At 51.5% G+C, this 25,026-nt stretch overlaps 1 protein-coding gene across 7 annotated transcripts, besides 19 other annotated features; it reads right to left on the bottom strand.

The window, feature by feature from the left end:
- On the bottom strand, positions 2,367 to 10,724 carry DES (desmin). Of its 7 annotated transcripts, none has more exons than NM_001927.4 (9): positions 10,061 to 10,724; positions 8,946 to 9,006; positions 8,755 to 8,850; positions 8,445 to 8,606; positions 8,148 to 8,273; positions 7,541 to 7,761; positions 5,281 to 5,324; positions 3,356 to 3,438; positions 2,367 to 3,152 (listed from the first exon to the last, which is right to left on the bottom strand). In NM_001927.4, exons 1-9 carry the CDS (start codon positions 10,636 to 10,638, stop codon positions 3,111 to 3,113), a joined length of 1,413 nt encoding a protein of 470 aa, NP_001918.3. In that variant the 5' UTR covers positions 10,639 to 10,724; the 3' UTR covers positions 2,367 to 3,110. The 7 variants fall into 7 exon arrangements, with proteins under 7 accessions (NP_001918.3, NP_001369641.1, NP_001369640.1 ...); NM_001382712.1 differs by having other exon boundaries at positions 2,367 to 2,548; NM_001382711.1 differs by having other exon boundaries at positions 7,541 to 7,740.
- Positions 10,649 to 10,953: a promoter, noted in NCBI's record as "-228 (PstI site) to +75 promoter fragment". NCBI's record gives its function as "promoter for DES gene" and the evidence as "EXISTENCE:reporter gene assay evidence [ECO:0000049][PMID:2007603]".
- Positions 10,649 to 11,705: a transcriptional cis regulatory region, noted in NCBI's record as "1 kb region from Des1-nlacZ transgene; includes the -973 to -693 enhancer, the -693 to -228 silencer, and -228 to +75 DES promoter". NCBI's record gives its function as "drives developmental expression in skeletal but not cardiac muscle" and the evidence as "EXISTENCE:transgenic organism evidence [ECO:0001131][PMID:8186686, PMID:8325245]".
- Positions 10,649 to 25,026: part of a biological region, named in NCBI's record as "desmin locus control region", that runs on past the window's edge. NCBI's record gives its function as "regulatory_interactions: DES".
- Positions 10,688 to 25,026: part of a locus control region, noted in NCBI's record as "18.6DESbeta transgene fragment", that runs on past the window's edge. NCBI's record gives the evidence for it as "EXISTENCE:transgenic organism evidence [ECO:0001131][PMID:16545539]".
- Positions 10,954 to 11,429: a silencer, noted in NCBI's record as "HindIII-PstI -693 to -228 fragment". NCBI's record gives its function as "negatively regulates the DES promoter" and the evidence as "EXISTENCE:reporter gene assay evidence [ECO:0000049][PMID:2007603]".
- Positions 11,430 to 11,586: an enhancer, noted in NCBI's record as "HincII-HindIII -849 to -693 fragment". NCBI's record gives its function as "enhancer in myoblasts" and the evidence as "EXISTENCE:reporter gene assay evidence [ECO:0000049][PMID:8387519, PMID:8186686]".
- Positions 11,430 to 11,705: an enhancer, noted in NCBI's record as "KpnI-HindIII -973 to -693 fragment". NCBI's record gives its function as "enhancer in myotubes and myoblasts" and the evidence as "EXISTENCE:reporter gene assay evidence [ECO:0000049][PMID:2007603, PMID:8387519, PMID:8186686]".
- Positions 11,452 to 11,472: a protein binding site, noted in NCBI's record as "Oligo 8 K3 Krox20/24-binding site". NCBI's record gives its function as "required for full enhancer activity in myoblasts" and the evidence as "EXISTENCE:protein binding evidence [ECO:0000024][PMID:8387519]".
- Positions 11,498 to 11,524: a protein binding site, noted in NCBI's record as "footprint 3 Krox20/24- and Sp1-binding sites". NCBI's record gives its function as "required for full enhancer activity in myoblasts" and the evidence as "EXISTENCE:protein binding evidence [ECO:0000024][PMID:8387519]".
- Positions 11,533 to 11,554: a protein binding site, noted in NCBI's record as "Oligo 6 K1 Krox20/24-binding site". NCBI's record gives its function as "required for full enhancer activity in myoblasts" and the evidence as "EXISTENCE:protein binding evidence [ECO:0000024][PMID:8387519]".
- Positions 11,587 to 11,705: an enhancer, noted in NCBI's record as "KpnI-HincII -973 to -848 fragment". NCBI's record gives its function as "enhancer in myotubes" and the evidence as "EXISTENCE:reporter gene assay evidence [ECO:0000049][PMID:8387519, PMID:8186686]".
- Positions 11,603 to 11,626: a protein binding site, noted in NCBI's record as "Oligo 1 MyoD1(des)-binding site (PMID:8387519)". NCBI's record gives its function as "required for full enhancer activity in myotubes and for MyoD1 or myogenin transactivation in fibroblasts" and the evidence as "EXISTENCE:chromatin immunoprecipitation evidence [ECO:0000226][PMID:20412780]" and "EXISTENCE:protein binding evidence [ECO:0000024][PMID:8387519]".
- Positions 11,626 to 11,632: a transcriptional cis regulatory region, noted in NCBI's record as "Mt (GGTATTT) site". NCBI's record gives its function as "required for full enhancer activity in skeletal muscle" and the evidence as "EXISTENCE:reporter gene assay evidence [ECO:0000049][PMID:9497371]".
- Positions 11,631 to 11,659: a protein binding site, noted in NCBI's record as "Oligo 4 MEF2(des)-binding site". NCBI's record gives its function as "required for full enhancer activity in myotubes" and the evidence as "EXISTENCE:protein binding evidence [ECO:0000024][PMID:8387519]".
- Positions 20,139 to 20,893: a DNaseI hypersensitive site, noted in NCBI's record as "HS1; the nucleotide coordinates are approximate for this feature". NCBI's record gives the evidence for it as "EXISTENCE:in vivo cleavage assay evidence [ECO:0001075][PMID:16545539]".
- Positions 20,195 to 20,695: an enhancer, noted in NCBI's record as "H3K4me1 hESC enhancer chr2:220273128-220273628 (GRCh37/hg19 assembly coordinates)". NCBI's record gives its function as "activates a minimal SCP1, AML or CMV promoter by ChIP-STARR-seq in primed H9 embryonic stem cells {active_cell/tissue: H9 hESC(primed)}" and the evidence as "EXISTENCE:reporter gene assay evidence [ECO:0000049][PMID:30033119]".
- Positions 21,694 to 22,288: a DNaseI hypersensitive site, noted in NCBI's record as "HS2; the nucleotide coordinates are approximate for this feature". NCBI's record gives the evidence for it as "EXISTENCE:in vivo cleavage assay evidence [ECO:0001075][PMID:16545539]".
- Positions 23,335 to 24,049: a DNaseI hypersensitive site, noted in NCBI's record as "HS3ii; the nucleotide coordinates are approximate for this feature". NCBI's record gives the evidence for it as "EXISTENCE:in vivo cleavage assay evidence [ECO:0001075][PMID:16545539]".
- Positions 24,100 to 24,673: a DNaseI hypersensitive site, noted in NCBI's record as "HS3i; the nucleotide coordinates are approximate for this feature". NCBI's record gives the evidence for it as "EXISTENCE:in vivo cleavage assay evidence [ECO:0001075][PMID:16545539]".

Raw genomic sequence — 25,026 nt, 5'->3', positions numbered from 1 at the left:
TCCACCTTAGTGACTAGTCTATACCTAAGCATTTGGTGGGCTGGGGGGTGGGAGGGGAACTGCCTCCAAAACCTCCCCTAACCCATGTGTCCCTTTATCCTTTGTGGGACAGATAAGTGCACATAACTCATTCAGGGGAAAGAAGGATTCCAGAAACTACTCACAGATATACACACCCCCTCTAATCCACCTGAGCCCAGCCCTGTCCAGGTGTTTCCAACACAGAGAAGCTGGCTCAGACTCCAGGGCCCCCAACAGACTCAAGGATAAGAAGCCCCTTACCCATCCCTCCTCCTCCATCCCAGTACAAAGACATTGGAAATGGGACTTTCAATTTCATTTCCTGTGAGGGTCATTGTGGAGTTTCTCTACAGGTTGACTGGGGTAGTTCTGGGGCCTGTAGGGTTCACCCTATTTGAGGACTGAGGGGAATGAAATGACCATGAGTCACCAGTGGCAGAGGGAGGGGACATGGGGCTACACCCCAGGTCCTCCTGGGGCAAAGCTGAAGAATAAAACAGAGAAGGGGACTTCTTAGAGAGAGGGGTGACTTGTGAGCCAGGGCCACATTAAAGGAGGGGAAGAAAGAGACACCAGAGAGGCTTTTGGAAGTTTCTGGAAAAGTCAGTTTGGAAGGTCAGATTAAGGACCTTAAGACTAAAACCTCCTGAGGTTTATTTAACATACAAACTGTCTGAGCTTATTATCTTTGTGATCTCTACCCTCTTCCTGACTCCTTTAAAGGATAATCCCTGAAATCTCAGAGGAGAAACTTGAAGGCTGAGGCCTACATGGATCCATCGTTTCCTACATCTTTGATCCACTGGAATATTTTTAGAAGGAGTAAAAGAGAGACAGCCTTCACTCTGCCCCCTACCCCACCTCTTAGCTATCAAAGTGCTCCAAACCCTATACTGAATCATTAAGTTTTCCCCACAAATTCAAAATGCCTCCTTTAACATGTGTATGTCTCCTGTATGTGAGTCTTGTTCTAAACACACTATTTTGTTCATTAATATTTGTATATTTCCTCTTCATTAACAAATCTGTTAATTATCATAGCCTTCTAATATATTTTGATGTTCTTTCTATGATTTCCTAATTTTTTTCCTTTTTCTTTTTTTGAGACAGAGTCTCACTCTGTCACCCAGGCTGGAGTTAGTGGTACAATCTCAGCTCACTGAAGCCTCGACCTCCTGGGCTCAAGCTATCCTCCCACCACAGCCTCCCAAGTAGCTGGAACTACAGGCTCATACCACCATGCCAGGCTAATTTTTTATTTTTTGTAGAGTCAGGGTCTCGTTACATTGCCCAAGCTGGTCTCAAACTCCTGGGCTCAAGAGATCCTCCCACCTCAGCCTCCAAAAGTGCTGGGATTACAGGTGGAGTCACTGTGCCCAGCCTCCTAATTTTTTTCATACGTCTTACACTCCCCTCCCATCTTCTCCAATTCTCTTAAAATTTTTATTTGGTATTTTAATTGAGATTGCATGGCATTGAAATTATAGATGAATGGAAAATGAATTGACTTCTCTTCAGAGTATTGAACCTTCTTATCGAAGCACAGAACAGATCTTTCCATTTTTCCAAACATTATTTTTCCTGAATTGGCTCCTGTGTATAAAAATAGTATTGGAAGGAGTTAATAGAAAGAGGCCATTGGCTCACATCTGTAATCCCAACACTTTGGGAGGCTGAGGTAGCAGGAGGAGCAATTGAGCCCAGAAATTCAAGACCAGCCTCAGCAACACAGAAAGACCTTGTCTCTACAAAAAATAAAAAGCTAGCCAGGCATGGTGGTGTGAACCTGTGGTCCCAGCTACTTGGGAGGCTGAGGTGGGAGGATCGCTTGAGCTCAGGAAGTCCAGGCTGCAGTAAGCCGTGATCACACTGCTGCACTCCAGCCTGGGTGACACAGCAAGACTCCATCTCAAAAAGAAAAAAAGAGAGAGAGAAAAAAAAGGGGCTGTTGGCATCTTTGAAGAAGGGACTGGGGGAGCCCTACTTCAGAGCCAGTCAGTGGGGAGCAGCTACATCCTTCAAAAGGAATAGCAGGTGGTGTCCCCCAGCCTGGCTGACCTGAAGGTGTAGTAGAGAGCACAAGGGGTGCAGTCCTGGAACTGGGGCCTAACGAGAGGTATTTGTGGTTCCCCAACAAAAGCCCTGTCCAGCCCTCCCTGCCCCATACACTGCATACAGACATCAAGGCCAGGTGGCTCTGGGAACAGAAGTGGGCGCGAGGCCCTGGGGAAAGTCTGGCTGGGTAGAAGGTCAGTATAGTCCATCTCAGGGTGACAGGTTGTATCACAGGGCCCCAGGGGCCCCACAGGAGACCTGGCAGTCAAGACAACAGGGGCCAGCTTGGCTTGTGTGTGAATCTCTTTATTGTTTCTCTCCAGAGCCCCTGCAGCAGGGGAGGGGAGGGCGTGGGGAGGTGGGCGCCCCTCCCACCAGCCTGAGACCGCTCTCTGCCTCTCTCCTCTCCTCTCTTCTCCAGCATCTCACCCACTTTCTCTCCTTCTCAATCTCCTGCTCCCACCTCCAGCACCTTCGGGGATTCCCTCTTGTAGCCCCTGCTTTCTAAGTCCACCCTGGGCTGGGGAAAGGAAAGTAAGAGACCACGGGGACAATTTCAAGCCCCCCAGTCTCCACAGGGGCTAGTCCCCCTGGCTACCTGCCTGGCTTTCTCTCTCCTGGGCTAGGGGCTGGGGAGGTCTGCGGGGCTCAGTCCTGGCCCTGCAGTATCCCAACACCCTGCTCTGGGGCTGTCTCCAGAGCCAAAGGCTAGTGCCTGAGGTCACAGAGGTGGGAGGGACAGGGCCACCGCTCCCGCCTGGGCTCCATCCAGCACAAGAGCCAGGCTCACTCACTGCCAACAGCCAAGGCTCACAGCTGGGGTCCGCAGAGGTGGCCGGGGCATGCCCTGTGACCAGGCAGGGATGGGCTATGTCGCTGTTGGGGACCACGAGGGATGGCCAGTGAGGAGGGGTCAGAGGCTGTGAGGGGAGGACTGAGGCTGGGTGTGGTGTCCTGGGATGGAAGAAGGCTGGCTTCAGGGAGCAGTGAGGACAGGGGTGAGGACGGTCTCTGGTGGCAGAGGGTCTCTGTCTTTAGAGCACTTCATGCTGCTGCTGTGTGGCCTCACTGACGACCTGGGGAGGAAGAGAAGCCCAGTCCAACCATGTGCTAGCCAGAGAATGGAGCCTCAGCCCTGAGCCATCCCCACCCCAGGGCCGCAGGATCTCTCTTGCCCCACTAGCCAGGGACCTAGACCAGCACAGCTGGGTGGAAGACAGTCCCCCCAGACACATCCATAGCCCCCACCAAGGGTAAGGAGCCCAGACAGACCACTTACCTCCCCATCCCGTGTCTCGATGGTCTTGATCATCACCGTCTTCTTGGTATGGACCTCAGAACCCCTTTGCTCAGGGCTGGTTTCTGTAACAGGGTCCATCGCACACTCAGCCTGACCAAGTCCAGGCTGGGCTATACCAGGGGCTGGGAGTCCATCTGGGGCCACATTGGGCAGAGCCCTAGCAGACCCCAACCCCCCTCAAGACAGGCTTGTTACTTCTTCAAGACTTTAACACCTTTCCTTCAGCCCAGCACCCAGCAGGTGGTTCTGCAGTCCCCAGCGCCTGTCCCATAGTTTAGATGGTCTCAGGAGCCAACAGATTTGCTCCATGTGCAGGATGGTGCAGGAGGGTAGGGGACACCTGAGGCCCAGGCTGCACAGCACTGACATTCCCCATCCCTCCTAGTTCCTCTCCACCCCCAGGCCCCAGGAGAGCCCTGCACACATTTGTCTCCTGGGACTCCCCTTCTTCAAGATAGAACCCCAAAGCCCAGTCTCAAGACACTCTTTAGAGGACCTTACAGTACCTATCTCCCTTTAAGATTTCAGGGCCAGGTGCGGTGGCTCACATCTGTAATCCCAGTAGTTTGGGAGACCGAGGCAGGTGGATCATGAGGCCAGGAGTTCCAGACCACCCTGACCAACATGGTGAAACCCCGTCTCTACTAAAAATACAAAAATTAGGGGGGCGTGGTGGCACATGCCTGTAATCCCAGCTACTCAGGAGGCTGAGGCAGGAGAATTGCTTGAACCTGGGAGGCGGAGGTTGCGGTGAGCCGAGATTGCACCACTGCACTCCAGCCTGGGCGACAGAGCGAGACTCCGTTTCAAAAGAAAAAAAAAATTCAGATGAGCAACTTGATGTCTTAAAGTGAGACAGAGCAGGAATAAGGCACTGACTCATTGTGCTGATGCTCAGTCACTTGCCATTCTGTGCCTCAGTTTCCTCACTGAGGACACGGAGTGAAGTGGTACCAACCTTATCATGGCCACAAAGCTATTGATTTGGAAAAGCACTGTGCAATGTGGGTGGAGTTTTTTGTACTATGAAGTTTTAAATGCAAGACTCATACTTGGTGTCTGTATAAACAACTAACTGAAAAGAGAGGCTCTGAGTTGTGTAGGAAAGGTCAAATGGAGGTCCTTGGTATTATGAGTTTGGTGCTTACGAATTTCCTTAGCTAGCAACCAGCCTGTGATGAATGTTGTGACTCGCTGGAGCGCAGCGTGTTTTTTTTCCTGATGGAAATGTACATCGAAGATAGAAAAGGTTTGATCTAGGAAAGGAGAAGCTGCCAAGGACTCCGACTTGCTTTCCTAATGCATCATTATCGTGTGTTTCTCTGCTCTCTGGGGTTGGAAAGCCACCCGATCTGCGTATTACTAATGTCAAAATGGCAGAGTGCCCTAAGAGCTCGTTCTTTTCATTGTTTGGCTTTGCTAAGATTTGGCATTTTTTTCCAAACGTGCATCCAACATCTTGCTCCAGCAAACTGGAGGTGTTCGACAAGCAGCCAAGGTGGGGCTTGGCAATGTGCCAAACAGACAATGGGCTGTGGGTGTCTTAGAGGGCAGGTGGTATGAGATGCTCCTGAAGCCAGGTCCCCAAGGACACTCCTGCTTTCAGAGTTTGGGATTCAGAACAGAGGCTGCTTCCTGAGGCCCAATACTCCAAGAAGGTGCAGGGGACATGGTAAATACAATACAATATAATCACATAAAAAGCTCTCTCTGTCATAAGTTGCCTCATCCACCTCTACCTAAACTCCCCCACCTACCCGCAGTGGTCCCCTTTTTCTTCCCCAGACTCCAGGTCTGTCCCTAGCCCCAGGGTCCCATCCTCCCTCCTGGCTGGCCTTGGGCAGTGCCCATGCTGGACTCCTGGCCCCTGCAACTCCAGCCTCCGCCTGCCAGCAGACACTCACCTCGGAAGTTGAGGGCAGAGTAGGTCTGGATGGGGAGATTGATCCTAAAAGGGAAGAGACAAAACCTCCTAAGAGTTAAGAACCCTCCCATCGGCCGGGCCCAGCTGTAATCCCAGCACTTTGAAAGGCCGAGGCGGGCGGATCACCAGGTCAGGAGATCGAGACCATCCTGGCTAACACAGTGAAACCCCGTCTCTACTAAAAATACAAAAAATTAGCCGGGCATGGTGGCGGGCACCTGTAGTTCCAGATACTCAGGAGGGTGAGGCAGGAGAATGGTGCGAACCCAGGAGGTGGAGCTTGCAGTGAGCGGAGATTGCACCACTGCACTCCAGCCTGGGGGACAGAACAAGACCCTGTCTCAAAAAAAAAAAAAAAAGAACCCTCCCATCTTTCCCTGAGACCGCCCATCAAGGCTCACCCTGGTCCTTTCTAAACACCATCCTCAGCTGTCCCAGTCCCACGGACCCCAGCACTCCCACCACCCATACTGCTCAAGGAATGGGGTCGAAGGCCAGCTAGAGCTGTCCCAGGAATAGTCTCTTCTGGAAGGATCATTATTTCAACTGTGAACTGCTGGCACGACACTAGGATGTGCAACCCCACCGCGCCCTCCAGAGCACCAGGATTTCCTTCTTGCTCCTGGCACTGAAGTTGGTACTAGTAGCAGCTGTGGGTGATATCCATTGCTCATGCCCACCCTCCAGCCAGGCCAGTTCTGAGAGCTTACTATTTAGGCCTAATGCTGGGAAAATGCAACATGCCTTTAGCTACCTTCAAAGGCCATCATATGTAGACGTGATTTTACAAAATCTGAAGTTTCTCTTTATGTTTGTACCTGTATCTAAACATGTCTGCTCCTTTTTAAAAATTTCAGATATTATTTTTATGAGTATCAAGGGGTACCAGTTTTTGGAGTAACTGATCTGTTTTAAATTGAGGTTAAATTTACATACAGTGAAATGCACAGATCTTTAATGTACAATTCAATGAGTTTTGATCAATGTCCACGTCTGTGTAACTACCAGTCCAAATCAAGATATAGAACATTTCTAGGCCAGGCACAGTGGCTCATGCCTATAATCCCAGCACTTTGGGAGGCTGAGGCAGGCGAATTACTTGAGGTCAGGAGTTAGAGTCCAGCCTGACCAACATGGTGAAACCTCATCTCTACTAAAAATACAAAAAATCAGCTGAGTGTGTTGGCACACGCCTGTAATCCCAGCTACTAGGGAGGCTGAGACAGGAGAACCGCTTGAGCCTGGGAGGCAGAGGTTGCAGTGAGCTGAGATCACACCACTGCACTCCAGCCTGGGTGACAGAGCAAGACTCTGTCTCAAAAAAAAAAAAAAAAAAAGATATAGAACATTTCTGTTATCCCACAAGGTTCCCTGGTGTCCCTTTCCAGTTGTATGTTGTTTTCTGTGTCTAGAGGTGGGTTGCTCTGAGCATGACGTCTGTGTCTTTTCCTCCGAACATGTGCATATGCTGACATGTGTGCATGTGTGTGCAAACTCATGCCTTCTGTATGCATCTCTTTACCTTCTCTTAGCCTATCCCTGTGCAAGGCTTCTCTCCCTCCCTCTCTCTATTTGCCTCTATCTGCTCCCTCCGTTTCCCTCCTCATCACTCCCCATTCTGCTTTCATCTCTCCCTTGACTGGCAGTAATATTTTATTATTGGTTGCTGAATATGGTTTTTTTTGCTGCTGGTTCTTAATTCTGAAGGTGGATAAGGGAATACTTATATTTCTCTTTTTATAAATGCTGTTAATTAAATTGCTTTTTACCCAGGTGGCCTTGGTTAATTCTCTGCAATTAATAGAGCAGTGGCCTCTTGTATAAAATTGTTTCCACGCCGGGTGCGGTGGCTCACGCCTGTAATCCCAGTACTTTGGGAGGCTGAGGTAGGCAGATCACCTGAGGTCAGGAGTTCGAGACCAGCTGCCCAACATAGTGAAACCCCGTCTCTACTAAAAATACAAAAATTAGCCAGGCGTGGTGGTAGGCGCCTGTAATCCCAGCTGCTCGGGAAGCTGAGGCAGGAGAATTGCTTGAACCCAGGAGGCGGAGGTTGCAGTGAGCCAAGATGGTGCCATTGCACTCCAGACTGGGCGACAAGAGCGAAACTCCATCTCAAAAAAAAAAAAAATTGTTTCCAGGTCTTGTTGAGGTAATCAGTAATCTCGAGCCTCCTGGGGACAGAAATGGACCACCCAGCACCCCGCACCTCCCACTCGGGCTCCTGCCTGGCCCCTCACCGGCTCTCCTCTCCCTCCAGCAGCTTCCGGTAGGTGGCAATCTCCACATCCAGGGCCATCTTCACGTTGAGCAGGTCCTGGTACTCGCGCAGATGGCGGGCCATCTCATCCTTGAGGTGCCGGATTTCCTCCTCCAGGCGCGCAATGTTGTCCTGGTAGCCACTGGCCTCACTGGCAAATCGGTCCTCCAATTCCCGCATCTGCCTCATCAGGGAATCGTTCTGCAGGAGAGGGGGAACCCAGGTCAAGGAAGGGAAGAGGACACTAGCAGCCCAAAGAAAGCTTTGGGGCTGGCAGGCAACTCCAGATGGTCAGGTCCAGGCCATGTTGAACCCTGAACTCAAATTAAGTCTATATGTGAACACTCAGAATAAAATAGATACAAAGGAACATTGCATTCAGCCTCACAGTCCCCACATAGGTAGATGCCCAGGAACCCCTGATTCCTTAGCATCCAACTGGAATCCACTTGTCTGGTTTTACCCCTATTGTAGATTTAAGTAGATGAAGGCCCAGAGAGGATCTATGATGGGCCCAAGGTCACAAAGTGAGGGTGTGAACTGCAGACAGGAAGGGGCAGGGCCTGGCCAGGTGGGCAGGGACTCACAGTGCCCTTCAGGGCGTCAATCTCGCAGGTGTAGGACTGGATCTGGTGTCGGTATTCCATCATCTCCTGCTTGGCCTGGCGCAGGGCGTCGTTGTTCTTGTTGGCTGCCTGGGTCAGGTCTGACACCTAAGGGCAGAGAAAGGGGCCCAAAAATGAGAAGGATGCAGGGCACGGGTAGGGATGAGCAAGGGAGCATGAAGCCTCTGGGCTCTCCTCCCATGGATGGTACCACAGGCAGCACATCCAAGCTGGGATTCAGGGGGACGGAGATGCCAGTCCCCGGGCGAGGCCACCCACCTTCGACTTGTACCACTCCTCAGCTTCAGAAATGTTCTTAGCCGCGATGGTCTCATACTGAGCCCGGATGTCCCTGAGGGCGGCAGTGAGGTCTGGCTTAGACATGTCCATCTCCACCTGGACCTGCTGTTCCTGAAGCTGAGCCTGCAACTCACGGATCTCCTGTAGGGCATGACTGGGCTTCAGTCCCCTCTCAGGGCCCACACAGCACCCTCACACCCCTATTCCCAGCCAGAGCCTCACCCCAACCCCACTTTCCGGCTGCTTTCCCCATGGCCCAGTGACCCCAGGAAGAGGGGCCAAGGTATACCTCTTCATGCACTTTCTTAAGGAACGCGATCTCCTCGTTGAGAGATTCAATTCTGCGCTCCAGGTCAATGCGAGCTAGAGTAGCTGCATCCACGTCCTGGGAGAGGCCAAGCGAGAAGGACATGGTCACCGCCACCCAGGTGGGGCAGAGCAAGGCCAGAGGCCATGCAAGGGGAAAAGAAGGGCACTCACCGCTCGGAAGGCAGCCAAATTGTTCTCTGCTTCTTCCTTCAACTGAATCTCCTCCTGCAGCCTGGGTGGGACAGACAGAAAGACAGACAGTTGCGGGTGATAAAGCTGGCAGTGGAAACGACTGGCCGGGGGCTGACCAGGGGGTGGGTCCAGGACAGAGCGGGAGGGCCTGGCTGCTGGGTAGAGGCAGGAGAGACAGGGAGTGGAGAGGCCCCACCCACCCAGGGAGGGCACAGGAAGTGGCCCAATCTCTGCCCAGGAGCCACACCCTTGAAGTCTATGTCCCCACCAGACTGTGTGACCTCCCTGGGGTTAGAAACTGTGTCTATTTTATCCACCTCTGTGTTTCTGGTTCCCAGCTCCAGCCTGGCCAATATAGCTGCTCAATTAATATTTATGACTTTGGTGGCAGGAGGGTGACTGTGCTCACTTGGCCTGTCAGAAGTGGGACCAACAAATATGCTACACTTGCTGCCCTTTTCGTTCTTGGAGCCTGGTGAAGTCTACAGTCAGGTCCTCCCAAGCTCTCTGAGAGCTGTGACCCCCACCTACTCCCTTTTTCTCCAGCCTGTCCATTCACCTTGTAAAAAGACACAGTCTCGGCAAGGCCCCAGGGCCAAGCTCCCCCCTCCCCCCACCTCCCCCAGGGCCTCATCACAGCTGAGCTGAGAGCTGTTGCTTGGACTCTGGGCCCTTGCCCTGCTTTCCCTGTCTCCTATCAGCCTCCCTTCTCCCTCTGGCTACACTGCCCTCTGGGCCTCCTGCAGCCCTTCCTCTGCCCATCAACTACCTGACCCCATAAATATCGCCCCAGCATCTTAAAATGCTTTTTAACGGGGCTGTCCACAGGGCACCGGGTCCCCTAAATTCTCCCATATCCACCCCCTGATCTATGTCCCCAAGAAAACTCCTGTGCAAGATGGGATCGCAGGGGGAGAGACCTGGAGGTCACGGCCCCTTGAAACACACAGGTGGAGGACCCTTTCTCCACATGGGGCAGGAGAGGGTCCCGGGCCCCGGGAGAAGGCAGGTGCTGACAGCGGGACCCCAGACCCCAGGCCTAGCCTCCTGTGCCCTGCCCGCAGAAAGAGGAGTCTGGGGTGCCGGGCCCTCACTTGGCCTTGAGCCGCTGCAGGTCGTCGAGCAGGTTGTCGCGCTCGACGTCGACGCGCGCGCGCTGGTTAGTGAGCACCTCCACCTGGCGCCGCAGCTCCCGCAGCTCCTCCTCGTAGAGCTCGGCCACTCGCGTCGGCTCGCGGCCCTTGAGCCGGTTCACTTCGGCGGCGAGCGCCGCGTTCTGCTGCTCCAGGAAGCGCACCTTCTCGATGTAGTTGGCGAAGCGGTCATTGAGCTCCTGCAGCTCCACCTTCTCGTTGGTGCGCGTGGTCAGAAACTCCTGGTTCACCGCGTCGGCCAGTGAGAAGTCCAGCAGCTCGCCTGCGCCGTAGGAGGAGGGCGTGCGGGTGGTCCCCAGCCGGCTGGCCCGCAGCGACCCCAGGCCCCCGGCCCCGCCCGACGTGCGCGACACCTGGTACACGCGGGACGTCACCGAGCTGGAGGAGCCCTTAGAGCCGAAACCCGCCCGCGGGAACACGGGCGAACTCAGCGGGGAGCCGAGTGGGAAGCCCGGGGCCCCGCCGAAGGTGCGGCGGTAGGAGGACACGCGCTGGCTGGACGAGTAGGCCTGGCTCATGGTGACGGCGCGGGCGAGGCTGGCGGGCGCACGGAGGAGGCGGCGGGCAGGCGGCCGGCCGGAGAGTGGATGCGGCGAGGGGAGACAGGGCCCCCAGCCGTCGGCACTATTTGTATCCCTCCTGACATCAGCCCCCGCCTCCCCTCCCCTGACAGCTGCAAGATCCCGCTGTCCTGCCAGGAAAGGGCGGCCCGTGGCCGTGGGGGCGGGGAGGCCAGCTCCCCCGCAAGAGGCCTGCGCCCCTGAGTCAGCCAGCGGGGGTCCTGTGACGGGCAAGCCTGCCAATCCTTCGCCAGGGCAGGCAGCAAGCATGTCTGCAGCCCCCAGGCGGGCCTCTTTCAGCCCTGGTTATCTCCTCGTCCTGGGGTGGGGGGGAGTGGGGTCAGGGGAGACAGCAGAAGAGAGGCTTCCCTTTAGTTTGAGGGTCCCCTTTTTGGTCAAGGAGAGACTTTGGGTCATTTCTTAAAGGGTCAAGGCCTGTTCCCAGGAAAGGCCCTAAACCACCTTGTTCCTAAATATTCTCTTGAAGTCGAAGAGGTTTGGGTCTCAGGCAAAGACCAGCCAGGCTTGAGGGTGGGGGTCTCTAGGCAGGAAGGGAGGGCAGGGAGACGCCTGGCAGGCGGAGGGATCCTGGCCAAAGCCTGCCTGCCATGTATGTCTATGGGCGAGCTAGCCCTGAGCCTCAGTTTCCCTCTGGACTAGTGCAGGCCCTCTTCCTCCCCGGTACTGTCGAGGGTGGGGCCTCAAGTTTATAAACAGTGGGCTGATTTCCAGAAAGGGTCTGATAAGCTTTCAGTTTCCAATTGCTATGTGCGCTCCCACCCCCGCACAGACTTTGTGTGGCTCCTGCCCCCTGGGTCCCCCGCCCCCTCCCTGATTCATCCCCCTACTCACACCACCCACGCCCACACACACCAGGGGTTTGTGTTTTGTCAGGAGCCGCATGTCAACCCAACCATCTCCCTGGCAGCAACAGCTGCCAACCCCAAATACCAGAGCGGGTATTTATAGAGGAGAACGCATGGCTGGGAAACAAGGCACAGGAGAGGAGCTGTGGGGGGCAGGGGGTACCTGAGGAGGCATGGGTGGGCGTCAGATAAGGAAGGCTAGGGTGACAGCCCCAATCACTTCCCACCCCCTATAATGCTCCAGCCCCCACCCCCACAAAAATGGAGCCCCACAGAGGGCCTGCCCAACCTCCAAAGCCCCCTCCTTAGCACACGGCACTTGCTAACCCCTAAGGACATCCACCATTCTCCATGGGTACTGGCCGTGCCTCTACACCTCCACTTGGCACTCCAGGTCCCTCTTGGACCTGACCCTTTTGGAATGCAAACCCTGAAAATAGAGTGCTCGATTAGGAGCCAGTCACTGGTCCTACCCTAGACCTGCCATCACCAGCTGGAGGGGTTACTAGTAGGTGTGTCCTTGTCTGAGCCCCAGCTCAGGCACGTCCTCTCTGAGCCCCAGCTTGTCAGATATAAAGTGAGGATGGTTAGCCTTGCCATGCTACCCTATAAAGGTTTAAAGAGGCCCAGGCCCTACTAATGTATGTAGCAACAATAATACCTTACATGTACTGACCACCTAGTGTGGGCCAAGCTGCTGAGCACTTCACACCCATGACCCCCAATTCTCCAACCCTAGGAGGTAGACACTAGCATCATTCCCATTTTATAGCTCAGGAAGCTGAGACAGTGAGACCTCACAGCCTGTGGCTTTGGCCTCAGGATGGGTGTGAATGTGCCGGGTAAATTGTAAAGGGGGCTTTGTTACTGCACTCTTTTCAAAGCCCTTTCCCATTAAGTGTCTAATTTTCATCCAAGAGACAAGCTTCTGAAATAGATGGGGGAGTTCCAGATATTCTTATCCAGCCCTCGAGTCAGTGCAAGCTGTTGTGTTCTGGTTATTTTTGTGTCTCATCTCCCAGACTAGACTGTATGCTCCTGGAGGATTTTGGAGACCATGTGGATCCTTAACACACTCAGGCAGCACCGTCTTTCTCATTGTCATTCAAAGTAGCCTGCAAGCTTTCTTTTGCAATTTCCTTATTTTGATGACATGCTGTGCCTCCTCCCCATCCCTCCACCCCTAAAGACCCTGATTCCAGCCAGTCTTATTACTGCATCTCCCTGACTTCAGTGACTGGGTCAAGGAATGGGCCTGGGAATGAGCAGGGCCAATCAGAGACCTTCCCTGGAATTTATAGACGGAACTGGGATTCTTCAACTGGAACCTGTGGAAGCCATGTTTCCTGCCCCCTGGGGGAGTAGGAAGAAAGAGAGGTCAATATGTAAGAAGCAGAGGAGGCTGGAGAGGAGGAGCAGGCCAGCCCCTTGGTTCCTGCAGTGCTTCCCTCAACTTTGTGAGTTGAGCTCCCACACTGTCCTTCCTGGCCTTGGGCCAACAAACTTTCCGTTTTTTTTTTTTTTTTTTTTTTTAATTTAAGGCACTTGGTATTGCTTTGATCACTTACAGCCCAAAGAACCAGATTAATCTTCCTGAAGGGGACTCTACACCTATTTCTATGATGCTACTGGGACAACATTTCTGGAGCTCTTCTCTGTGAATGATCTCCAGACCACATAAGGAAATTGGCCTTTGGACCAGCCCAAGTCCTCAGTTCCTTGGTGAAAAGAGGCAGAAGACAAATAAATCATGCCATCTATTCTCTAGTCAAAATCAACAACCACCAGACTTGGCCCCGAACCACTTGGGACTGTTTTCAAAATTCAGTTCCACCCCTGAGGATTTGCTACCATGGAGGGCTGCAAATCAACACCCCGAGGCTTGGAAGGCAGGTGAAAGAGGAGCACTCCAAAACATGCTGTGAGCTGGGCAGCACCGCTGGAGGGAGAGTTCAGCCTCCCGAGAGGACCACTCAGGATGGGACACACTAAAAATACCGACAATTTATTTGGATGGGTAGTGTATATGGTACAAAATTCAAGATGTGCAAAAAGGCATAAAATGAAAAGTAAGTCTCCTTCCCACTTTGACACCCAGCCACCCCAAACACTGCTTCAGAGACAACCAGGTTTTGGTTGTTATCGGTTCCTTTCAGAGATACTTCATGTACACACAACCACATTTTCTTATGTGGAGCCCCCACTTCTGAATCAATCTTTTTTCAATGACATACAGCTTAGAGATGGTTCCATTTTAGTACATTGACAGCTGAGTCACTTTTACATTGTGATAAAATATACATAAAATAAAATTCACCATTTGAGCCATTTTTTAAGTATACAGTTCAGTGGCGTCAAGTACATTCACATTGTTGTACAACTATCCCCACCATCCATCTGCAGAACTTTTTCATTGTCCCAAGCTGAAACTCCATATGTATTAAAAATAACCCTCCACCTTCCCCTCCTCCCAGCCCCTGGTAAACATCATTCTACTTTCCGTTTCTACGAATTTGACTCTAGGTACTTCATGCAAGTGGAATCATACCATATTTGTCCTTTTGTGACTGGCTTACTTCCCTTAGCATAACGTCTTCAAGGTTCATCCATGTTGTGACATGGGTCAGAATTTCCTTTCTTTTTAAGGCTAAATAATATTCCATTGTATGTATACACCACACTTTGTTTATCTGTTGATGAATATTTGGGTTGTTTCCAACTTTTGGTTATTGTGAATAATGTCGCTATGAACTTTGGTGTACAAATATCTGTTCAAATACTTATGTTCAGTTCTTTTCTGTAGATACTCAGAAGTGGAACTGCTATGTTATATGGTAATGCTATGTCTAAATTTTTGAGGAACTGCCATGCTGTTTTCCGCAGCAGCTGCACTGTTTTACATTGCTACCAGCAGTGAACATGGGTTCCAATTTCTCCACATCCTGGCTAACACTTGCTATTTTCTATTTGTTTATTTGTTTTATAATATTAATAGTAGCCTTCCTAATGGATGTGAGGTGGTACCTCATTGTGGTTTGTTTGTTTTGTTTTGTTTTTTAGAGACAGGGCCTCTGTCACGCAGGCTGGAGTGCAATGGCACGATCATCACTCACTGCAGCCTCAAATTCCTGGACTGAAGTGATCCTCCTGCCTCAGCCTCCCAAGTACCTAGGACTACAGGTGCAAGCCACCATACCTGGCTAGTTTTTTTACTTTTCCATAGAGATGAGGTCTCCAAACCTATGTTGCCCAGGCTGGTCTCAAATTCCTGGGGTCAAGTGATGTTTCCACCTCAGCCTCTCACAGTGCTGGGATTATAGTTGTAAGCCTCCACACCCAGCCTTATTTCATTTTTTAAAGATAGGGTCTCACTCTGTTGCCCAGGCTGGAGTGCAATGGCATGATCATACCTCACTGAGGACTTAAACTCCTGGTCTCAAGCGATCTTCCTGCCTCAGTCTCCTAAAGTGCTGGGATTATGGAAGCAAGCCACCACACCTGGCTGCTCATTGTGGTTTTGATTTGCGTTTCCCTAATGATCAGTGATGTTGAGCATCTTTTCATGCGCTTACTGGTAATCTGTATATCTTCTTTGGCAAAATGTCTTCAAATCCTTTGCCCATTTTTGAATTGGGTTGTTTGGGGATTTTTTGTTGTTGAGTTGCAGGAGTTCTTTATATACTCTGGATATTAATCCCTTATCAGATATATGATTTGCAAATATTTTCTCCCATTCTGTGGTTTGCCTTTTCACTCTGTTGATAATGTCCTTTGATGAACAAAAGTTTGTAATTGTGATCAAGTCCTATTTATCTATTTTTTATTTTATTGCCTATGCTTTTGGTGTCATATTCAATAAATCATCGCCAAATCCAATGTCATGAAGATTTTCCTCTTTGTTTTCTTCTAAGAATTTTATATTTTAGCTCTTATGTTTAGGTATCATGTCTGTTTGTTGTTGTTGTTGTTGTTGAAACAGGGTCTTGCTCTGTTACCCAGGCTGGATTACAGTGGTGCCATCATAGCTCACTGCAACCTCAAACTCCTGGGATCAAGCGATCCTTCCACCTCGGTCTCCCAAAGTGCCAAAATTACAGGCATGAGCCAATGTGGGCCTGGCTGTTTTATCCATTTTGAGTTAATTTCTATGTATGGTATAAGGTAAGAGTCCAGCTTTGTTTTTTTGCATGTGGATATCCAGTTTCTCAGCACCATTTGTTGAAAAGACTACCCTTTCCCCCACTGAATGGTCTGGGCACCTGGGATGAAAATAATTTAACCACGTGTGAGGGTTTATTTCTGGGCTCTCTATTATATTCTGTTGGTCTGTATGTCTGTCTTTATGCTGGTACCACACACTGTTTTGATAACTGTACCTTTGTAGTAAATTTTGAGCTCAGAAAATGTGAGTTCTCCATCTTTGTTCTTTTTCAAAAATTTGTGGCTATTTGAGGTCTCTTGAAATTCCTTATGAATTTTAGGATGGATTTTTCTATTTCTGCAAAAATGTTGGTGAGATTTTGATAGGCATTATACTGAATCTATAGATCACTTTGAGTAGTAATGGTATTCTTAACAATATTAAGTGTTCCAGTTCATGAACATGAGATGTCTTTCCATTTATTTTTGTCTTCTTTGATTTATTTCAATAATATTTTATAATTTTCAGTGTACAAGTCTTGTGCCTCATTATTTATGTTTATTGCTAAGTATTTTATTATTTTTAATGCTATTATAAATGCAGTTGTTTTCATTTATCATTGAGATGATCATGTGGGGTTTTTCTTCATTCTGTCAATGTGAAGTATGACACTGATTGACTTTTATATATTGAACTATCCTTGCATTCCAGGAATAAATCCCACCTGATTATAGTGTGTAATCCTTTAAATTTGCTGCTGAATTTGGTTTGCTAGTATTTTGTTATGAGTTTTACATCAATATTTATAAGGGATATTGGTCTGTAGTTTTCCTGTAGTGTCTTTGTTTGGCTTTGGTATGAGGATAATGTTGGCCTCATAGAATGAGCTAGAAAGTGGCTGGGCACAGTAGCTCATGCCTGTAAACCCAGCACTTTGGGAGGCCGAGGGAGGCAGATCAGGAGGTCAAGAGTTCGAGACCAGCCTGACCAACATAGTGAAACCCCATCTCTACTAAAAATACAAAAATTAGCTGGGTGTAGTGGCACACGCCTGTAATCCCAGCTACTTGGGAGACTGGGGCAGGAGAATCACTTGAACCCGGGAGGCGGAGGTTGCAGTGAGCTGAGATCGTACCACTGCATTCCAGCCTGGGCGACAGGGCGAGACTCTGTCTCAAAAAAAAAAAAAAAAGAATGAGCTAGAAAGTATTCCTTTCTCTTCTAATTTTTGGAAGAGTTTGAGGACTGGTGTTAGGTTTTTTGTTTGTTTGTTTGTTTGTTTTGAGACAGTGTCTCACTCTGTCACCCAGGCTGAAGTGCAGTGGTGTGATCATGGCTTACTGTAGTCTCAACCTCCGGGGCTCAAGTAACCCTCTCACCCTCCCACCTCAGCCTCCCTAGTAGCTGGGACCAGAGGCGTGTGCCACCATACCTGGCAAACTTTGTAATTTTTTTGTAGACAGGGAGTCTCCCTATGTTGCCCCAGGCTGATCTCAAACTCTTGGGCTCAAGTGATCCTCCCACCTTGGCTTTTCAAACTGTTGGGATTACAGGTGTGAGCCACCATGCCCAGCCTGGTGTTAGTTCTTTGTTTCTTAGAACTCACCAGTTAAGCCATCTGGTCCTGCACTTTTCTTTGTTGTGGGGTTTTGAGTCATTTTTCTTAGTGTCTTTGTATTTCACTGTATAGACTTGGTATAATTTATTTGGCCAGTTCCTTATTGATAGACATTTATGTTGTTCCAGTGTTTTGCTATTATAAGCAATGCTGCTGTGAACATCTTCAGGACACCTTTGAACACAAATTTTGGTACTTTTTTTTTTTGAGACGGGTTTTGCTCTTGTTGCCCAGTCTGGAGTGTAATGTGCGATCTCGGCTTACCACAACCTCTGCCTCCCAGGTTCAAGCGATTCTCCTGCCTCAGCCTCCTGAGTAGCTGGGAATACAGGCATGCGCCATCACGCCCGGCTAATTTTGTATTTTTAGTAGAGATGGGGTTTCTCCATGTTGGTCAGGCTGGTCTTGAACTCCCGACCTCAGGTGATCCACCTGCCTCAGCCTCCCAAAGTGCTGGGATTGTAGGCGTGAGCCACCATGCCCGGCCACTTTTTTAAAAAAAAAACATAAAAGTCACAGTATTTAGTAGTCAGGCCTCTTCCTTAATTGATATTGGAAATGGAAAGGTCCACCAGGACAGATGATTTCATTCAGCATTTACCAGAAAAGGGGACAATTTATAAATTTGTGTATGTGGGATGGTGCCTTGCACAGTGGGTACTGACAATAACTTTTGTTAAATGAATTAAGGAAATAAGTTAGTCCTGCTCTCCGTTTGAAATATTTCCAGATTAAGCCGGGCGTGGTGGCTCACGCCTGTAATCCCAGCACTTTGGGAGGCCGAGGCAGGCGGATCACGAGGTCAGGAGCTCAAGACCATCCTGGCTAACACAGTGAATCCCCGTGTCTACTAAAAATAAAAAAATTAGCCAGACATGGTGGTGGGCACCTGTAGTCCCAGCTACTCGCGAGGCTGAGACAGGAGAATGGCATGAACCCGCGAGGCTGAGCTTGCAGTGAGCCGAGATTGCGCCACTGCACTCCAGTCTGGGTGACAGAGCGAGACTCCGTCTCAAAAAAAAAAACCAAAAAACAAAAAAGAAATATTTCCAGATTATTCAAACCTCAGAGTTTTAGAAGCTTACAGTTGGACCTCAGCAGGTCATGAGGCTGACCAGTCTCATGCTCCCACTTCTCACTGAAGTCCGAAGTCTTCTTTACTGTGGCTCCAGCAAGCACTTGATCAGCTTGAATCCCTCCAGTCCCTGGGAACTTACTGTCTCTGGGCAGCACATTCCATTCCCGAAGAGTCCCTGAGTACCTAACATGTCTGCACCGCAGCTCTGCTGTTAGAAAACCTTTCCTTGGCCGGGTGCGGTGGCTCACACCTGTAAACCTGACACTTTGGGAGGCCGAGGAGGGCGGATCACCTGAAGTCAGGAGTTTGAGACCAGCCTGGCCAACATGGCAAAACCCCGTCTCTACTAAAAATACAAAAATTAGCCAGGTGTAGTGGCACGGGCCTGTAATCCCAGCTACTTGAGAAGCTGAGGCAGGAGAATCACTTGAACCTGGCGGGTGGAGGTTGCAGAGAGCCGAGATCACACCACTTCACTCCATCCTGGGCTAAACAGCAAAACTCTGTGTCAAAATTAAAAAAAAAAAAGAAAAGAAAAGAAAAGAAAGAAAACGTTTCCTGATACTCAAAGCCAGATGACATGTCTCTGCTATGCCACATATTCTAACCTGGGAGCCAAGCAGAGCAAGAACCCCCCTTTCACAGATCTACCCTGCAAACATTTGGGGGCAGTGTTCATGCCTTTTGGAACGTTGCCTGTTTTGCCACTCCCAGCTTCTCTCCTTTCCCTGACCTATTGAACCAGCAAGACCCAAACTTGTCATGGCCTCTGAGGGCCCCACAGGACTGGCCCTGCCCACCTCGTCAACTGCAGGTCACTCACCTCTCCTTCAGACTCCCCTTGCTTCAGCCTCCTTTCTGTTGGGTGAGGCTGCCCAGCTCTCTCCAGCCTCCAGACCTTGGCCTTTGCTGTTCCCTGCTGTCCCCCGAGCGCAATGTCTGGAGGGCTTCAGGATGCCCCGGCAGATCTCTGAACCTCACAGAGGGCTCTCTGGAAAATAAGGGCCCTGGCTCTACCTAGGAGCCCCCAGATTTCATGAATGGCATGGATGGAGGACAGGTGGCTAGTATGGGCGGATAGCTGAGGTGGCTTGGCCAGCATAGGGCATTTGGATTAGGAAAAACTGAAAGAACTCAAAAAGGAGAGAACTGGCCCTTTACCCGGTCTGAGAGAGCCTCACTTGCCCTGGGATTCCAGGTATGAGGCAGTGTTAATTCCTCCTGCGGTGCACCCTCCCTCCGTGGACTAATACCCACCCACAGGGGCACCTTCCACTCCTTCCAGGGCCCCTCTTCTCTCTCTTTTTTTCCAGCTGGGGACCTCATGCTTCCACCCTGAGCTGGGTTGGGCCAGGAGGCAGCCATTGCATGAGAGAGCCTTGGGAACAGCATGGCAAGGATGAACTCTGGGGACCTAGGCCCTCATCATCAACTGTAGCACTGGGTCATTGACAGGGGGGTGAGAAGGTGGTGGCAAAAGGCACAAGCTTAGGGGTTGGGGGTAGAGTGGTCAATTGGAGGCGAAGATACAGGTGGACACCCTGGGGATTCACCAGCTGACCACCTGGGCTACCTGGGCAAGTCCCTGGCCTCGGCCCTGTTGTGATCCCAGTGTGAGGGGACAAGGCCAAGTCACCTCTGGAGTCCCCTCAACTTCTGACAGCCTGAGACTCTGGGCCCCAGCAGGGGGTGGTCTCAGCTGAGTTTTTTCCTGGGACTCACTGTCTAATGTCCCCTGGCCTCCCTGTCCAGAGCCCCTCCCTCCAGCAGCCCCCTCCCATGCATCCCCATCCCCTCCATCCACCTTCCCCCAGCTGGAGCAGCTGCTTGACCTCCACAGGCTGCTGAGGAGCTGGAGTGACTGTAAAAGGGAAGGAATGTCCAGAGGCGGCTGTTTCTCCCTGATATCACCCGGGGGGAGGCTGGAGAGTTGGGGGCCCAGCCGGGATGGCGTCAGGATTCTCCCTGAAACTCATCCCTCTCCTGCTGCGCTGCCTCCTCCCCAGGCTCAGCCAGCAATCCACCCCCCTCCCATCGGCCACGCTCCACATCTCTTTGGCTTAAGACATTCGGGCCATATCTTCCCTCTCCTAACTTTTTCCACCTCCAGCCCCCAGACCCTCTCCTGGGCCCCTTCCTTCACTGGCACCCCCACCCCAATTCTCATCAACCCCTCCTTCATCGTCCTCGTCACCCCCACACCCCGACCTTGCTCCTTCTCCAAGGAGGGCCCCACAGCCCCGACTCCTGCCCCTCCTGCCCCACGCTCCTTTTACAGACACAGAGTGCTGTGGACTTTCTGCCAAAGTAGGACAAGTCTGGGGCTAATCTCACCTCCTCCCCAGCCCCCAACTTCTCCCACCAAATAGGACAGCTCAGCCCAGGAAGGAGGCTAGGAGGAGAAGGAGGCTGGGCCTCAAGGGGGAAGAGCTCATGAGATGATGGAGATGAAAGGGCTTTGTGGACTCTCAGTACCCTGTAAACTTCAGGTGTTATTCACCCAGTAAGAGATGACAGGGAGGAGAGGATGGGACGGAAGGGTGGACGGAAGGGAAGGGGGCTTTGGTAGCATTAAGAAAGGTCCCAGGACAGCACAGTGGCTCATGCCTGTAATCCCAGCACTTTGGGAGGTTGAGGCAGAAACATTGCTTGAGCCCAAGAGTTCAAGATCAGCTTGGGCAACAAAGTGAGACCTTGTCTCTACAAATTTTTTTAAAACAATTAACCAGGTATGGTGCTGCATACCTGGAGTCCACTGCACAAGGGAGGCTGAGGCAGGAGGATTGCCTGAGCCCAGAAGGTCAAGGCTGCAGCGAGCTATGACTGAGCCACTGCTCTCCAGCCTGAGTGACAGAGAAAGATCCTGTCTCTAAAAGAAAAAAAAGAAAACACCTCAGGGAAGGCTTCCGGATGCATTGGGAGCACATGGCTGAACTGGGGACCTGTCCTGGACCAGCTCTGAGACAAGCTGTGTGACATTGGACTGGTCACCTCCCCGTTCTGGGTCTGGGTTTATCCTTGCTTAAAGTGAAATATCCTTGGACATACCTCCCTACTCTGACCCCAAAGAGAGGGGTGAAAGAGGTCTGTTTTCTTTTTTTTTTTTTCCCTTTTTTTCCTGAGACAAAGTTTCACTCTTGTTGCCCAGGCTGGAGTTCAATGTTGCAATCTCCGCTCACTGCAACCTCCACCTCCCAGGTTCAAGCGATTCTCTTGCCTCAGCCTCCCAAGTAGCTGGGATTACAGGTGCCCCCTCACCACACCCGGCTAATTTTTATATTTTAGTGGAGACAGGGTTTCACCATGTTGGCCAGGCTGGTCTGGAACTCCTGACCTCAAGTGATCTACCTGCCTCGGCCTCCCAAAGTGCTGGGATTACAGGCGTGAGCCACTGCACCTGGGCCCCTTCTTTCTTTTTTATATTTCAACCTAGATGAAGAAAAGGGGTTGCACCCCTTCCTTGGAATTCTCTGTTGGGATCTCAGTGCCATCACTCCATTCTCTCTTCTTCCTGATTCATCCCCATTCCTTTCATCTTGCCTCATAGGCTTTTTTGGTTCAGCCTCTCCAGTTTGGTCAGATCCCTGCCCTCCTGGGCCCCTTCCAGGTTTCCTACATCCCTCTGAGGCTGTGAGGCTTTAAACAGGGCCTGAGCAGGCTGGCAATGACCTCACAGGGCCACTATGCACAGCTTCTATTTATAGCCTTATAGGCTCATCCTCCTCTTCCTCCAACCAGCTGAGTCACGGTCAGCTTGGGGTCCACTCAGACCCCAGGGCCTTCTCTGCCACTCCAGATCCCAGTCCACCACGGCACCCTGAACTGTTCTTGCCGCTGTGCTGGATGCTTTATTCTCTGAACCATCCAAGTACACAATGAAGATGAGTGTTGGGTTCTACACAACACCCTTTTTTGGGCCCTCAGCATTGTATGTTCTTATAGCCCAGCCCATCATCCTTCTGTCTTCTCACGTCTGCCAGATAGGCAGCCCATGACCTCAATTCCACTGGACTCTGCAGAGGTGTGGGCAAGGGGAGGAATTTGAGAAGCATCTGATAGGCCATGGCCAGAGTTCAGATCCTGGATCTCCCACTCTTGGGTTAGTTTCCTCACCTCTCTGAGCCTGTTTCCTCACCTGTGAAATGGTAATTACAGCATAGGGTTGTTGGGAAGATTAAACGAGAAACTTGTCTGCAAAGCACTTAGCACAGTGCCCAGCACACTTCGAGTGCTCAGTAAGTGCCAGCCATCATGAGTATTTTTTGTATCCCCTTTTGACCAATAAGGAAACTGGTTCAGTGGGAGCCAAGGACTTGCTCAAGTCCTTGCTTCAGGTCAGCAGGTCAAGGCCAAGATTGAGAGCCAGGACTGCCTGACTCCAAAGCACTAGCTCTTCCTATGGGCTATGGTGCCTCTGAGAATAACACAGCCACCACTCACTGAGCATCTACTGTATACCAGGCACAGTATTATGGATAGCTACCACATGGAATCACTGTATCTCTAATCCTTACAACACTGAAGTAACTCTTATCCCCATTTTACAGCGGTGGATACTAGCCTCAGAGAGGTTAGGTAAGTTTCCTAAGGTTGCACAGCAAGTAAAAAGCAAAGCCTGGATTAACCCTAGTCAGTGTCTCCTAGAAGTCCTGCTTATTTCTCTGTGTGGTCTCCAAGGCCTTACCACATATTGATTTGGCAGACACAGCCCTCGGCTCATCCCCTTTTAACTCGGCCCCATCGGGGACTCTCCATGGAAAAAGCCCCTTGTCCAGCATTGGACAAGTCCCTCCTAACATTCTGCTCTGCTCCTCTTCCCAAAACCCTTGCCCTCCAGAAACGGTCTAGGCATGGAGGGGGAGGCTGTCAGGGAGTCAGGCCCCACTGACAGAGGAGTCCGAACTTTAGCCTACAGGAAAGGCGGGTGGGGAGGACACTGGAAATTTTTCATCTGAAGGATAAAGAATCCAGTGGGGGCCCTTCTGCCCCATGCCACTCACAGGCCAGCCAGGCACGGGGCTCCTCACAGGCTGCAGAGGCTCCCCTCAGTCCACCCTGGCCCCAGACTGCCCCCAACCGGCCTGGGAGCAGCCTCGCGTAGCAGCATCCACACCTCTGTCCTGGAGAGGCTGCCAGGAGGACTGAGACCAAAGTCCAGGCTTGATCTGTGGCCTCAAGTTTCCAAAAAGATTCCGGGGTCCACTGCCAGCCCCTGGGGATTCCCACTGCCCAAGCTCGTGAGTGCCAGATGCTCCCAGAGCGCATCAGGAGTGTCCCAGATACATTTCCCTTCCCAACTAAAGATCCCCAGAGTTACAATTTGCTGAAAGCAGAGTGCTGGCCTTCTTTCTTCCCACCCACAGCAGTCAGAACGGTATACCCCAACCATCCCAAAGGGCCCTCCTAATGCCCCCACCTCATCCGGCCTCAAAGAGATGGGGCAGGTGCTCCCTCTGCCCTCTCCCAGGTGCCCCAGCCACCCTGGATACCAGAATAGACCACTGACCGCCTGCCCTTGGGGCTGGGAGGGGCCACAGCCGGTGCTGCCACTCAGGCTGGGAGAGGGATCGGGCAGAGAGGAGCGGACAGGCTGGTGCTGGGACTGAGAGGGCGCTGGAGGGCCCCAGGCTGTTTCCAGCAGCTCCTCTGTGCTGTGCAGTGAGCTCTCCCACCAACACCCTACAAGCAAGAGTGCCCCCCACTCCCCAGCCAGAAAAGGGCTTGGAGCTCCAGACACCAGCTCAGAATTGGGCTGAATCTAGGCTCCAACTTCTCCCAAGCTCTCCTTTTCTCCTCTGGGGCTCCACCCCAGCCCCAGCCCCGTCTAAGTGAGGAGGCCCTTATTTGGTGACCCCACATTCTAGCTTTTTGGTGTTGAGAGGGCTTCCGGCCTGGACTAGGATCCCTGCCCCCACCCCTAGGTCCCAGGCTGCTTCTCCTGGTCTTCCAGCTGCTGGTCCTGGGCAGTTCCCTTCTTGGACACCTCTCCCAAGCCCAGGCCCGATTTAGCTCCTTTAATCTTGCCAGTAACCCAATCCGGCCATTTCCTGAGCACACGCTGCACTTCCCAAATGGCCCTTCCCTGGAGAGTGGCTGGGGCAGAGTGGCCTCAGCTCTTCCCTGGACTGAAGCACCCCCACCCTCCTGCCCCAACATTCTACTCCTCTCTTTTTCCCCACCCCTAGGAGGCCCCAGGGCGCTCTGGCTCTGCAAGACTCTGTTCTGCTGTCCCGGCCTCTAAGTAGCCCAGGCCTGAGGCCCGAGCCCCCATTTCCAAGCCCAGCCCAAATCCTCACCTGGTGCTTTCCCGCTTCCCAGCCTTTGCTGAGCTTTTCCTGTGCCTGGAACACCCTCACCTTCACAGGGCATTTCTTATTTTTTTTCAAGATGGAGTCTCGCTCTATTGCCCAGGCTGGAGTGCAGGGGCGCAATCTCAGCTCACTGCAACCTCTGCCTCCCGGGTTCAAGCAATTCTCCTGCCTCAGGCTACCTAGTAGTAGGGATTACTGCCACCCACGTCCAGCTAATTTTTATATTTTTGTAGAGACGGAGTTTTGCCATGCTGGCCAGGCTGGTCTCGAACTCCTGACCTTAGATGATCAGCCTGCCTCTGCCTCCCAAAGTGCTAGGATCACAGGCGTGA

Source organism: Homo sapiens, chromosome 2, assembly GCF_000001405.40.
Source record: "Homo sapiens chromosome 2, GRCh38.p14 Primary Assembly".
Taxonomy (NCBI): Eukaryota; Metazoa; Chordata; class Mammalia; order Primates; family Hominidae; genus Homo; species Homo sapiens.
Note: the sequence above shows the minus strand (reverse complement) of the source record. Positions and strands in the feature narration are given on the sequence as shown.